The sequence below is a fragment of the Homo sapiens genome, chromosome 17 (assembly GCF_000001405.40).
Source record: "Homo sapiens chromosome 17, GRCh38.p14 Primary Assembly".
NCBI lineage: Eukaryota > Metazoa > Chordata > Mammalia > Primates > Hominidae > Homo > Homo sapiens.
In genome coordinates this window covers 46367236-46382121 of record NC_000017.11, presented here as the reverse complement: position 1 = coordinate 46382121, position 14886 = coordinate 46367236, and the positions used below count along the sequence as shown (strand labels likewise).

The window sequence follows — 14886 nt, the reverse complement described above, 5'->3', positions numbered from 1 at the left end:
TTTTTAGTAGAGACGGGGTTTCTCCATGTCAGCCAGGCTGGTCTCGAACTCCCGACCTCAGGTGATCCACCAGCCTCAGCCTCCCAAAGTGCTGGGATTACAAGTGTGAGCCACCATGCCCAGCTGTAATGTTCTATTTTTAAAAAGATAAATATCTGAAGCAGATATCATATGTTAACATTTCTTAAACCTCAGTGGTAATCACATGGATATATGTTATTCACTGTACTTGTCATGCTTGAAATCTCTTAAAGTGTGCATGAATTATACTCATTCAAAAATACTTAGGGCTTCCAGAAATGGTTACATCTACAAAAGGAATATTTAGTTTTCACTATAAAAAAAAATAAGTTGGAAATTAGTAGTTTAAATCACTAGGAAACTGAAGTCAGTATAAGGTAGCTCTCAGAGCAATATTAAGGATATCAGTACTAAAATACGAAAGAGTATCTCACTGAGAGATTTTCACTTAAAATACCACAGCCAGAGTATAGATGTTTTAAAAAGCATTACAGCAAGTGCTTAGTGTATTGCCCAATGAAGGTATTTGTAAGGGTTCGCTCTTCTGCCACTGCCAAAATTTTCAATGGTAAGATAATATACTTTACCTTATACTTTTGCACCTTAACTTAACTACTTGAAAAAAAGAGTCATCCTATACATAAATTCCTCTGGGTTTCAGAAAGAAGAAGCTATCTAATGATGCTTTAAAGAATTGTTTTGTTTCCTAAAATTCATTGCATTTGAAGATACTTTTAAAAATATCCACTAAAGCGATACACAAAACTAATAACTACTGCATGTAAGACTGCAGAAAGTTGATATACTTTGGACAAACTTTCATTCAGGAAATGGACTACCAAACACTTTATAGTATTTGTTTTGATTTGTAGTACTGCACATGAGCTATCCACAATTTACAGCTTGAGTTCCAAAGTTTCATCTGAAAGTTTGTTTGGTAATGATGTCATTCACCCACAAAATGTTATAAATGACTAGGTTTCTTTTTTTTTTTTTTTTTTTTTTTTTTTTGAGACGGAGTCTCGCTCTGTCGCCCAGGCTGGAGTGCAGTGGCGGGATCTCGGCTCACTGCAAGCTCCGCCTCCCGGGTTCACGCCATTCTCCTGCCTCAGCCTCCCAAGTAGCTGGGACTACAGGCGCCCGCCACTACGCCCGGCTAATTTTTTGTATTTTTAGTAGAGACGGGGTTTCACCGTTTTAGCCGGGATGGTCTCGATCTCCTGACCTCGTGATCCGCCCGCCTCGGCCTCCCAAAGTGCTGGGATTACAGGCGTGAGCCACCGCGCCCGGCCAAATGACTAGGTTTCTAAACAAAGGCTACAAAAGCTTCTGATATTGATACTGATACTGAATATTCTGGCCTGCCCTAGTCAAAACACTAGATTCGACAAATTTTACCTCTAACATCTTTCCATACCCCTTTCAACTCCTAAGCAAGTTCTCTCTCGTTGGTTCCTATTTCACATTATCTTACTCCTATCTCTGCCAAACAGATGACCTCGATTAGGTTTAAGGACTTATGAAGAAAGAGATCCACTGGCTTTATTTGCACTAAAGTATGTGTATTTTCAGAAAGGGACTGCTGAATCTCCAGTAAGTGAGATTTCTGGCAATTTTAAAAGATAAGCATACAAAACAGTTCAGGCACTGTGGAAAACTTTTCTTTTTTCTTTTCCAGTAGTGGGAAGGTAGTGGTATCTTCTGATGACCTAGAAACTGTACACTGAATAACATCACACATTTTATTCTTCAGCCAATTTCCCAGATAAACTATATACGGTGCTTCATTGGAAAAAACTTCAATTACATAGTGAATATAAATCCCACTTATAAGATGATGTCAGAATATCAAAAGTAGTAAGAATGCAAAATAAACTGTCCCCCACAAAAAGGAAATATAAAACCCATTAAGAGTATCGCAACAGCCGGGCTCAGTGCCTCACGCCTGTAATCCCAGCACTTTGGTAGGCCAAGGCAGGCAAATCACTTGAGGTCAGGAGTTCGAGACCAGCCTGGCCAACATAGCAAAACCCTGTCTCTACTAAAAATAGAAAAATTAGCTGGGTGTGGTAGCACAGGCCTGTAATCCCAGCTACTAGGGATGCTGAGGCAGGAGAATTGCTTGAACCCAGTGAGTGGAGGTTGCAGTGAGCCAAGATCGCGCCACTGCACTACAGCCTGGGCAACAGAACAAGACTCTGTCTCAAAAAAAAAAAAAAAAAAAAAAAAAAAAACAGTATTGCAACAACAACAAAAACATTTGATAAAATTCAACATCCCTTCATGATTAAAAAAACTCTCAACAAATTAGGCATAGAAGGAATATATCTCAAAATAATAAAGTCTATACACAACAAACCCAGAGCTAACATCATACTGAATGAGGAGAGGTGAGATCTTTCTTCTAAAAGCTGGAATGAGGCAGGGATGCCCATTTTCACCACTCCTATTCACCACAGTACTGGAAATCCTAGCCAGAACAATCAGACAAGAGAAAGAAATGAAAGGCATCCAAACTGGACAAGAGAAAGTCAAATTGTCTCTTTGCTGATTATATATCTGTAGGTTTAGAAAACCTTTAAATCAGTAGCATTTCTATACATCAATAAGGATCTAGCCAAGAAAGAAATTAAGAAGGCAATCCCATTTACAATAGCTACCGAAAACAAACAAAAACCTAGGAATACATTTAACTAAGGAGGTGAAAGATCTCTACAAAGAAAACTACAAAACACCAATGAAAGAAAATAAATCAAAAAACATCCTATGCTTGTGGAAAGAATTAATATCACTAAAATGACCATATTGCCAAAGCAATCTACAGATTCAATGAAATCCCTATCAAAATACCAATGTGATTCATATGGGACCAAAAAAGGAAAAAGAAAAAAGCCCAAACAACCAAACCAAACCTGGGCAAAAAGAACAAAGCTGCAGACATCACATTATCTGACTTCAAAATATATTATAAAGCTATAGTAACCAAAACAGCATGGTATTGGTATAAAAATAGACATGTAGACCAATGGAACAGAATAGAGAATCCAGAAATAAAACCACATAATTATAGACAAATGATCTTCAACAACACTGACAAGAACTCACACTAAGGAAAGGACACTGTCTTCAATAAATGATGCTGGGAAAATTGCATAACTTCATGCAGAAGTGTGAAACTAGACCCCTATCTCTCACCATATACAAAAATCAACTCAAAATGGATTGAAGATTTTAAGACCCAAAACTATAAAAATACTACAAGAAAGTCTAGGGAAAACACTCCTGGACATTGGTGTAAGCAAAGAATTTATGATTAAGACATCAAAAGCCCAGGTAACATAAAGAAAACTAAACAAATGGGACTTAAGCAAACTAAAAAGCTTCTGCACAGCAAAAGAATAATCAACAGAATGAAGAGACAACCTGTTGAATGGGAGAAAATATTTGCAAAGTATTCATCAAGCAGAGGACTGATATCCAGAACATACAAGGAACTCGAACAACTCAAAAGGAAAATAACAAATAATCCCATTAAAAAAGAAGACATACAATGGCCAAAAGAAGACATGGAAAAATGTTCCACACCACTATCAGAGAAATGCACATCAAAACCACAATGAGATATCATCTTACCCCAGTCAGAATGGCTATTATTAAAAAGACAAAAAGTAACAGATGTTAGTAAGGATGCAGAGAAAAGGGAACTCTCACATACACTGTCGGTGGGAATGTAAACTAGTACAACCACTAAGGAACACTGTATGGAGATTTCTCAAAGCTAAAAATAGAATTACCTTCCATCCAGCAATCCCACTACTGGGTATCTACACAAAGGAAAAGAAATCAATGTATCAAAGGGATAGCTGCACTTGCATGTTTATTGCAGTACTATCACAATAGCAAAAATATGGAATCAACCACCTAAGTGTCCATCTACAGATGAATGGATAAAGAAGATGTCATACATGTACACAATGGAATACTATTCAGCCATAAAAAGAATGAAATCATATCATTTGCAGCAATGTGGATGGAACTGGAGGTTATTCTCTTAAGTGAAATAAGCCAGGCACAAAAAGACAAATATTGCATGCTTTCACATATATGTAGGAGCTACAAAATTTGAACACAAGGAGGCAGGGAGTGGAAAAATAGATAACAGAGACCGGGAAGGCGGAGTAAGGGAGAGAAAGGCTGAAGAGAAGTGGGTTAAAAGGTAAAAAGATCCAATGAGGTCAGTCGCGGTGGCTCATACTTGTAATCTCAGCACTTTGGGAGGCCAAGGCGGGTGGATCACCAGGTCAGGAGTCCAAGACCATCCTGACCAATGTGGTAAAACCCTGTCTCTACTAAAAATACAAAAATTAGCTGGGCGTGGTGGCACATGCCTGTAATCCTAGCTACTCAGGAGGCTGAGGCGGGAGAATCGCTTGAACCCGGGAGGCAGAGGTTGCAGTGAGCCAAGATAACACCACTGCACTCCAGCCTGGGTGACGGAGCAAGACTCCGTCTCAAAAAAAAAAAAAAAAGATCCAGTGATAGGAGGAATAAATTCAATGTTTGATAGCTGAGTAGATGACTATACTTAATACATTGGACTCATGTACCCTGACTTGATCACTACACATTATACACATGTAAAAAAATTTTCATGTACTCCATAAATATGCACAAATAAAAGTATTGCAACAAGGTGAACTATTTTTGCTAAAAATCACTCAGTAGTTACTAGAAAATAAAGGCTATCAGAAGAAATGATAGACAATCAGATGGGCCAAAGTTTTTCAGATTTTCCAAAAGGTAGAAGATAGTTTCTGAACATTATTATGTCCAAAAAGTTCTAGGTGAGGTAAACCTAGTCTTTACTACACTCTTGCAACTAAGCTGGTGAACTAGGTAACAGTACCAGGCTGATCTGAGTTCAAATCTTGACCCTGCTTCTTGCTGGCTATGTGAACTTCTCAAGTTACTAAATCTCTCTCTCTTTCTCTCTGCAAAAAAACAAAGATAATACTACCTACTTTGCAGGTTGTTTTGTTGGAATTAAATGAGACACATCTGTATTTAAGCAACAGTGCCCAAGTGTATTAATGGGTATCAGTCTAGAGGCATGTCACTGGCAGCATGTCCAAGGGTTATTTCTGACCCTGTCTTATTCTATCCTTTACCAATAACTCAAACGTAGAAACAGAAGTCATGATTAAACCTACAGATCTAACCAAACTGGAAGAGACAGCTATTATGTTTCCTAACATGAAAGAACTAAGAATCCAGATTACCTCAACAAACAGCAGACATGCACTGACCTAAAAAAATGAATTGTAAAAGGATAAGGTCTTGATTTAGGTTCAATAAAACTGCTCTAAACCTAGAATGGAGCTAGGGAGCTGATTTTAAAAGAACATGAGTTTTCACTGACTACAAGCTCAGTATGAGCCAAGAATGTGATTTACTATAGAAAAAACGCTAATACAATTTTATCTGGTATGAATAATGGTAGTGTCCATCTCAAGACAATAATAGCTTAAGTACATTCTTCTCTGATCACTGTGTTCCACTCTGGGCACATTTTAGAAGAAAGGTTGACAAAACAGTAACATTAGGTTACTTCCAGAGGAAGGTAGCCTAAATGATGAAGGGTTTGGAATATGAAATATGCTAGGAATTGGGGGATGTTTAACTTGCAAAATCGAAAATCTGAGGAGATATGTAACCTGTATTCAAGTAAATGAGTAGCTTGAGTAGCTATTACATGGAAAAAGAATTGTGTTTAGTTCCGTATGGCTTGAAACAGCAGAAATAGTAACTACGTATAAAAGTTACATGGAACTCCAGATAACAAAGACCTAACATAGCTGTATGACATTACAGGCAAGCTTTAGGGTAATATACCATCTATCACCAGAGTGTTCAGAGACTGATTCATTTTCAACAAAAATGTATTGAGTACCTAAGTCCCACAAGGTACACAAAGCGCAGTTGATAATGACTAAATAACTTGTATGTTCTCTGCTTTTCACTGAGGTGAAGTGGTAGAAGCAAATAATAACACACACTCAAAGTAACAAAAAGATAAATCTCTAAGGAGAGGAATACAGTTCTTCAAGAGTATATAACAAAGGATCCTGACTTATAATGTGGGGTCAGAGTAGGCCTCCCTTGAGTAGCTAAGTGATGTCTGAGTAGGAGGTAAATGGTTGGGGGGAAGAACGTTACAAAGAAAGGAAACACCACTCGCAAAGACCTTGTGGTAAGAGAAACTACAGGTTCAAGGAATTGAAAGGCTCGTTTACCATATAACCTGAGCACACAGAGTAAGAGAATGAGTGGAAAGAAGCAGGAGCAGAACCACAAAGAGTCCTGAAGGCCTCATTAAGGATTTGGTTTTCTCCCAAAAGTAATGGGATGCTGCTGAGGAGGGGTTTAAGTAGTAATAGGCACGGGAAGGAACAATGAAGGTCAAGAATGAATTGGAGGTGGGCCACATGCTCTAAGAAGACTACTTGGGAGGCCGGGCACGAATCTCAGCACTTTGGGAGGCCAAGGCAGGTGGATGACCTGAGGTCAGGAGTTCGAGACCAGCCTGGCCAACATGGTAAAACCCCGTCTCTACTAGAAATACAAAAATTAGCCGGGTGTGGTGGTGGGCGCCTGTAATCCCAGTTACTCAGGAGGCTGAGGCAGGAAAATGGCTTGAACCCAGGAGGCGGAAGTTGCAGTGAGCAGGGATCACGCCATTGCACTCTAGCCTGGGTAACAAGAGCGAAACTCCATCTCAAACAAACGAACAAAAAAATACTTGGAAGCTTCCTGCAGTAGTCCAGACCAGAAATGATGGTAGTTTGGGAAAAGGAGGTAAAAATGAAGATGTGGAAAGGTGGACAGACTGGAGATTTTTAGGTTAAAATGACAGAACCCATGTGACCAATCCAGATAGTCCAGTGGGTGACTTGGAACTAGTCTAAAGCAACCATTCCCCCAAACCAGAGTCTTTGGCCCTAATTAAATACCTTTATGGGGGGCAGGAGCAGAACTCTGACAAATTTTACCGGGGGATAGGGCAGAGGACATGGGTACAGCAAAAGAGAGATATAAAGGGTTACCCACCCTCTCCCTCCCTCAGATTCCCAGCCTATATAACTGGGTGGATGATGGTATCATTCAGTGAGATATTCCTATCTCACTGGATAGGTACAGATGGTCCCTGACTTACAATGGTTTGACTTAACATTTTTCAACTTTACAATAGTGCAAAGGTGATAGGCATTCAGCAGAAACTGTACTTTGAAGACCTACACAACCATTCTGTTTTTCACTATCAGCACAGTAATAAATGACATGAGGTATTCAACATTTTATAATATAGGTTTATGTTAGATGATTTTGCCCAACTGTAGGCTAATGTAAGTGTTCTGTGCATGTGTAAGGAAGGCAGGCTAGGCTAAGCTATGATATTCGGTAGATCGGGTGTATTAAATGCATTTTCAACTTCTGATACTTTCAGCTTACAATGGGTTTATCGGAAGGTAGCCCCATCGTTAAGTCGAGGAGTATCTACACAAGTTAGGTGGGCTAAGATCCTGGGTTCGGAGTTGAAAAAGCTGCGTTTCGGGACCTTGATTTTAAATAAGCAGTTGGACATATTAACCTGAAACTTAAAGGGCAGGTCTGGACTGGGGGTAAAATATTGAGAATCACTGGCATATAGACAGTTGTAGCTATGGGCTTAGAAGAAATTGCCTGAGCGGGAAATTGAGAGTGAGAAGACGGCCTTTGAGGAATACCAGCAATGAATAACAAAGTAGAGGAGGGTGAGGCCGCAAAAGAGAGGTCTGAGTCAAACCAGGAGCGAGGCATTCCAGAACACATGTGAAGAGTGCTTTCCGTCAAGGAAGCCATGGTCAACAACGTCAAACGCTGCTGAGATATCAAATAAGATAAGGATTGAAAGGTATCAATTAAGTTGAGGGACAGGTTTCAGTGGGATGATGGGGCAGAAATCAGACTGCAGTAGGTTGAAGGGTGAGTAGGTGGTAAGCAAATGGAAGACAATAAATATAGACAACTCTATCAAATTTCCTGCTGTAAACTGGGACGGGAAAAGGTGACAGCTGTGGGGGTGGGGGAAGGGTTTAAGATAGAGAAGCTTGATTATGTTAAGAAGGAGCAGGTGAATATACAGATAGGGTCTGAAGTACTGGCAGAAGGACTAGCCTTAAAAGGAGAGGCCATGGGGAAAAGGAAGAGAAAGAAGCCAAACTAAATGACCTTTAAGATCCCTTCTTACTCTAGAATCTCATGACCTACAAGTCCCTTCAGATAGGGCATTTGCATATATGCATAAATCTATGCAAACTTATTCAAAAATTCTGTTATAAATAGATCAGTCAATCACATCTTTCACCCCCAATGACGCAGTTAATGTCCTCAGGTTTATGACCAGTGTAATCTCCGGGCAGGACTCATCCCTTGAGAGCTTTTAGCTCAAGGCAGACTGCAATACAGCACTCAACCAGCTCTCTCTCCTCGCCAAACCCATCCTACCCAACGATCCTAAAGGCTAAAGGAGGAAGTAAATTTAAAACCCTGAAACTACAGCATATCCTGCTGCATTCGAAGCGAGTGTCATCCATAAAAACAAAACGTGACACCCCAAATCCATCCTCACTCCAAGCTAAAGCCAATTCCTGCCTGACCCGACAGTTGACAGGTCCCCCAGATGGCCGGGCTTTAACACTAAAAGTCATTGGCACCCCCTCCTCTTTCCCAACGACCTTTAATTTGTGAAGAGCCAGACATGGGTTCCTGAAGATCCTTCCTACACCCCTTGCCCCGAATGCAGCAGAGGTGCTCCCGGCAGTTACTCCGGCGCCCCCTAATAAGCCCTCGCAAGGGGGTGCGGAAAGACCCCCAGAGCCCGTCAGAGGGGGCTTCGGCGACCGCGACCCTGCGGCTGTGTGGAGGACGAGGGAACAAGCCCCAAGGGATGGGAAGGGAGGATGACGGGAGGCGCAGCAGACGCGTGTAACGAGGGGTCATCTCCCCTCGAGGGGGGTGGAGTTGTTGAGGAGGGCTAATCCCCTGCCACCGCTCCCCTGCTACCCTCAAGTCCCGCTCTGGCCTCGCGCCCCATTGCTCGGATTCACTCCCACTCCTCTGGGGCCGCCTGGACCCCAGAGTGCCCGCGAGCCCGGCGCCCCTGCCTCAAGCCTGGGCTCCCAGACCGGCACTCACCCGGCCCGCCATCTTCGCGGACACGTCCGGCTCGGCGGCTGCAGCTCTGCGCTCGGCAAAGCCCGCCCCCGCCGCGCGCGCGCCCCCGCCGCCCGCCCTCGCGCAGGCGTGCAACCGCCGTGAGGACGCGCGCGTCCCTGGCCGCGTCCCCGGCGTCCTCGCTCCACAGGGCGCGCGCGCGGGCTCGGCGGCCGCCTGGGGTGCGCGGGGTGGGCAGAGCGGCGGCGCCATTTTGGCTGGAGCTGCGGGGCTGTGGTGGGTGACTCCGTTTCCAACGTGCGTGTCAGTCCGCCGGGGCCTGGAGGGCTGCGCCTGCGAGTCTCATCCCCCACTGGCGGTTCGCGCCGGAATTTGTCTCAAGGGCTTTAATGCTTCGGATCACTTATCCCTTTGCCAGCTGCTGTTCGCCCTCGAATGTCCATTTTGGTCTGTGCTTCCACACTCTCTTTAAACATGGTCTTGCTGATGAGAGCGCCCGGCGCGTTCCCTGGCTTCCCCCAAAAAAGATCAGCTCCGAGGAGTTGGTTCTGAGTTCAAATTCTCCATGAATTTTCTCACTTTTCTTTGTAGGCGTACTTGTTTTCCTAGTTGCTGGAATTGTCATCGTTGGCAGTTTTATTTATGTGTAGCCTGGAAAACTCAGTATTTTCAGATTTGAAAGTGAATTGTGATTATTTTTATACATTATTTTTATTAAATATTTGTCTTTATTTAATAAAGGCAACTTGCATCTTCGACCAACCTTTTCATTCCCCAGTGTTGTTTCATTTTAGACAATATATATGGTAGAATCTGAATAAAATATGCCCTAAATTGAGCCTTGTTGAACCTCAATGTTTCCACCATACCATTTCTCCACTGGAATCTCAGAATATCTAACTGCAAGCACGCTGAGAGGAGAAAGATTCTGCCGAATGGATTCCCTGATGCTTTTATTTACCCCACTATCATATCTCTCTTCATATTTGCACAAGACAATAGGGAATGATAGGATTTGTTCGCTTTCATTTCTCACAATTAGAATAAATCGGGGTTTTTTTCCCAACATGAGGAAAGAAGGGAAATAACTAGAAGAGCTGAGCATGCATAGTGATTTAAATTTGAGAACTAATAAAATCAGACAGTGACCTGAAGATGAACTAGGGACAGAAGAAAAAATTCATGCCAGCCAGGCGCGGTGGCTCATGCCTGTAATCCAAGCACTTTGGGTGGATCACCTAAGGTCAGGAGTTCCAGACCGGCCTGGCCAATATAGTGAAACCCCGTCTCTACTAAAAATACAAAAATTAGCCGGGCGTGGTGGCGGGCGCCTGTGATCTCAGCTACTCAGGAGGCTGAGGTGGGAGAATCGCTTGAACCCCGGAGGCAGAGGTTGAAGTGAGTTGAGATTGCGAGGCTGGGCAACAGAGCGAGACTCCGTTTAAAAAAAAAAAAAAAAAAAAAATTCACGCCTATTTCATTAAGTCTCACACTGAACCTGAGGACCAGGGTGCTTGGTTGACCAAATCAGATGTTAGCTAAATCATGGGTGGGTCGGAGAGGTTATCAGGAAAGATAGGAAACTAGTTGAGTTCTGACATACTAACGTGCAGAAGCTACTAACTTACAAAAACAAATATTAGAATGGCTTGGGGAGTCCAAAGGGTTAGGTTCTTTTCTTTGTCCCTATCTACCCATCACCTGTGTACCTTCATCTCTCTGAGCCCAGTTTCCTTATTTGTTTTTGTTTGTTTGTTTTTGAGACGCAGTCTTACTCTGTCACCCAGGCTGGAGCACAGTGGCATGATCTCGGCTCACTGCAACCTCCGCCTCCCGGGTTCTAGCTATTCTCCTGTCTCAGCCTCCCAAGTCGCTGGTATTACAGGCGCCTGCCACCACACCCAGCTAATTTTTGTATTTTTAGTAGAGACAGCGTTTTGCCATGTTGTCCAGGCTGGTCTCGAACTCTTGACCTCAGGTGATCCACTGGCCTTGTCCTCCCAAAGTGCTGGGATTACAGAAGTGAGCCACCACGCCTGGCCTAGTTTCCTTATTTGTACAGTGAGAGGTATAATTAAATAAGCTTAACAGTTGTATCCTTTTTTTTTTTTTGACACCTTGACTTTGAACCTAGAATCAAAGAGATTTTGTCCAAATAATTACAAGATCCAGAAGATGACATTGGTTCTCAGTCCAATAATCTGACATTATTTTCAAGGTTGGAAAATAATGCAAACATGTTTCTCCCTATCACTGGTTAGTTTGTCTTGTTTTACTAGATAAGCTAGATTGCAAGTACAAATGTCTTCAATTTCTCCAACAAGGAAGAATATTTATCATCTTGGAAGGATATGCCTGCTGGAAAGTTTCCAGTGTATCAGCTAATGTGCATATCTACCCATTATAAGAGGCCCTCTGTGCCCTCTCAAAGCCCTCTGTGCCTTCTCACAAGTAGTAAAAATTAAATAGAATCATTTGCACAGCCCTGCAGGGCCTGCCAAATAAATTGCAAGCAAAGATAGCTCTTGTCCTTAAGGTCCTTAGCATCCAGCAGGAGAGGAAGGATCCTGAGACAGTGCTCCAGATACTCCACATGTCTCTGCAACCTGTTTGTGCCTTGCTCTGACATTCAAGGTCATCTTAGAAATAGAGGGGTGCTGATTCTGCATCACCCTCTGAGTAATCCTTGCAGTGATAGTCGATAAGCAATAAATGTTTTTGCTGCCCCAAATTCACTCTGCCCTTTTCTGGTAACAGCTCCTCTGGTTCATGCAGCCTTGGAAGGACTGTCAGACCAGGTACCCTGCCTCCCCCTGGCCCAGGAGTGAATACAGAACCCAAGTTCAATCAGTCAGATGCTCTGTCTCTCCTAAGTAACTGCAATCTTGAATACCCTGAAGAATAAAGACAGAAATAGCTAGAGCTCATTTACTGCAATGATGACACCCTGAAGAGACCATTTGCTAGTTCTCTAGATCTCTAGAGTTTACCTGCTTTCTGTCATCTGAAAAATCTGATTGTCCCCCTTTGTCTTGATTTCTGTTAGTCACTTTCTCTTCCTAGAAAAATACCTCCCTCAGCTCTTCGTCGATCCCTGAAATTCTTTTAATATGCTTTCCTTTCACAGTGAGAAAGTTAGTAAGACGGCTAACAGAATGATTAATTTAAATCCTAAAGTGTAATGACTAACATCATTTTTTAAGGAAGGAAGGGCTTTGAGTGGGGGGTAGGAGGTGAGTCTAGGGATAGGGTCAGAGAGGAAAGGTACCTGAAAGGTGGGGAAAGAAGATGAAGACATGATAAAATGGAAATAGCAGGACCCAGAATGAAGAAGAGTGGGGCATAAGGGCAGGGGCAGGGTTTGACCAAGGTCAGTTCTTGCTGAACACAGCCCTTGTGATCCAGTGTGACGGTTAATTCTGTGTCAACTTGGCTTGGCCATGTTGCCCAGATACTTGATCAAATATTATTCTGGATGTTTCTGTGAGGGTGTTTTTGGATGAGATTTACATTTAAATCTGTAGACTTTGAGTAAAGAAGGTTGCCCTCCATAATGTAGGTGGGCCTCATCCAATCACTTGAAAGCCTGAATAGACAAAAGGCCAAACTCATCCAGAACAAGAAGGAATTCTCTAGCAGGTTACCTGTGGACTAGAACTGTAACTCTTCCCTGGGCCTCCTGCATGCCAGCTTCTCCCATCAGATTTTGGGCTCCCAAAGTCTCCACGATCACACGAGTCAATTCCTTAAACAAAATTTCCTCCTATGTATATACACATTCTGTTAGTTCTATTTTTCTGGAGAACCCTGATGAATATAGTCAGTTTCCTGTCAGTTACAGGGATGTGATTCCTGGTTTTTACAAAGTGATCCTTAGCATCACCTGTTGCTCCCTGATAGGTAACCAACATCTATAGGTGGAGGCCTGATTCAAAGACTTGAAAACAGTGCACAGATAGAATTTTATGTTCAAATTATGTCCCATTAAACATCACTTAAAATGTGCTCCATTGGAATGGGGCTGACTAACATTTTGGTTATATAGACATTTGTTTGTAATGGTTGTGGTAACAGAATTTAACTGGGGGAAAAATAAATATCTTCTGTGATTTGTGGAGTGAGGGCAATATAAAACATAGAAGTGAACAGATTCACCGTAATCCACTTTATTTAACAAAGCAATCTGACTATTTGGTGTTTTCATATTAACCAAAGGAAAACTACCTTTAGTCTGTGGAAACTGTAGGGTTAAACAAGTGGCACTGGGGACAGAGTTTTTAGTCACTGCAGGGCTGTTTCAAAGGTCTTCCAGCGGGATTGTATGTAGGTGTTTCAGGGAACAGTCCTGTTCGGTGAATTCACTACTGTATTGTAATTGTCAGAAGGCGTCCTGCAGTGTGTGTGTGTGTGTGTGTGTGTGTGTGTGTGTGTGACAGAGAGAGACAAAGAGAGAGATGAAGACCTGCACTTCCCCTCTTGCAGAAGATGTCACTGTGAAGCACACAAAGGTGGTCTTCAGAGCCCCTTTTATTCCCTTCCCGCTGCACCCCCTCCTCTCTTTCCCAAGTTCTTTCAGTATTAGTAACCTAACGTATTACTCTTCCCAGGAGTATTGGCAATTTAGGAAAATACTGACAGGACAGCAGTGCCTGACCTAAGAAAACAAACCTCAAAAGGCAACACTTCAGAGACTGTGACACTGTATGGGGAGCCATCTGTGTATAGAAAGCCTTCTCTTGCCCCTCCAATCGTAACTCACAGGTCAGCCACACATACCATGCAAGCCTAGGCTTTCTGGGAGCCCCATGAACACTTAATTTTAGAGCCCCGTCACAGCCAGTTTTAGGATGATGGAGTTGCCATCTGTTTGTTTTCTGTCAGAGAAACCTGTTTTCTAAAATGATGGATAAAGCTAGAGAACGGAGCAAAATGGAGAAAGGACATGGAATTTTTAAATGAAAGGAAGACCAGCTGATGCAATGCAGTATTCTAGCTGCAGTCAGTTGCGGGGCGGGGTGGGGGGTGTTTGTTTTAAATGAATATGTCTTTTCTCTTTGCAGGATCAAGGACAAACACCTATAGTCACAAAAAACAATTCATTCTGGAAAGCCTGAGTGAGCAGGAGAGATGATAGAATCCTCCGTGGAAAGGAAGGACTGTTGCTATGGAAACCAGATGATCCTTCAGTGGGGGCCCCAGTGCACTTGCCAGGCTGCCTAACCCTGTGTATTAACATCATGGGGCTGGAAGGCTGCCTGCATCTCTTTGAAAAGAGATTTTTCAGATATTGGTGTGATGAGACTTTATGCACCTTGAGAAAAGTAAATCAGCATCTCCTGGGAGGGGCTAAGTTGCCTAGAACCTTAAAACACTAGAGGCCCACACACCACAGCCGACTGGGGTGACTATATTGGCTACTCTTGACATTTCTCCAGAGGGCATCCAAGAAGGCGTGTCTTAAGGATTCTCTCTCTCTCTCTTTTTTTTTTTTTTCGAGATGGAGTCTTGCTCTGTTGCCCAGGCTGGAGTGCAGTGGAACGATCTCAGCTCACTGCAACCTCTGCCTCCCAGGTTCAAGCAATTCTGCTTCAGCCTCTCAAGTAGTTGAGATTTACAGGCACGCACCACCATACCTGGCTAATTTTTTTATTT

The 14886-nt window shown here is 42.7% G+C and overlaps 1 protein-coding gene and 1 pseudogene across 3 annotated transcripts in view; both read right to left on the bottom strand.

Moving 5' to 3' along the window:
- Positions 1-9309, bottom strand: part of NSFP1 (N-ethylmaleimide-sensitive factor pseudogene 1) — a 50285-nt pseudogene extending 40976 nt beyond the window's left edge. The window contains exon 1 of the transcript NR_033799.1: positions 9256-9309. The product of NR_033799.1 is annotated as an N-ethylmaleimide-sensitive factor pseudogene 1 (transcript). The remainder of the gene's footprint in view (positions 1-9255) is intronic.
- LRRC37A2 (leucine rich repeat containing 37 member A2) overlaps positions 1-9330 on the bottom strand; it is a 676337-nt gene extending 667007 nt beyond the window's left edge. For both annotated transcript variants that reach the window (XR_007065300.1, XM_047436147.1), the window contains exon 1: positions 9256-9330. Coding sequence is in view for 1 of the 2 variants with exons in the window: in XM_047436147.1 (XP_047292103.1) it covers positions 9256-9267 (12 nt within the window). In the remaining variant the exon portion in view is untranslated. The remainder of the gene's footprint in view (positions 1-9255) is intronic.
- Between the last annotated feature and the right edge of the window lie 5556 nt (positions 9331-14886).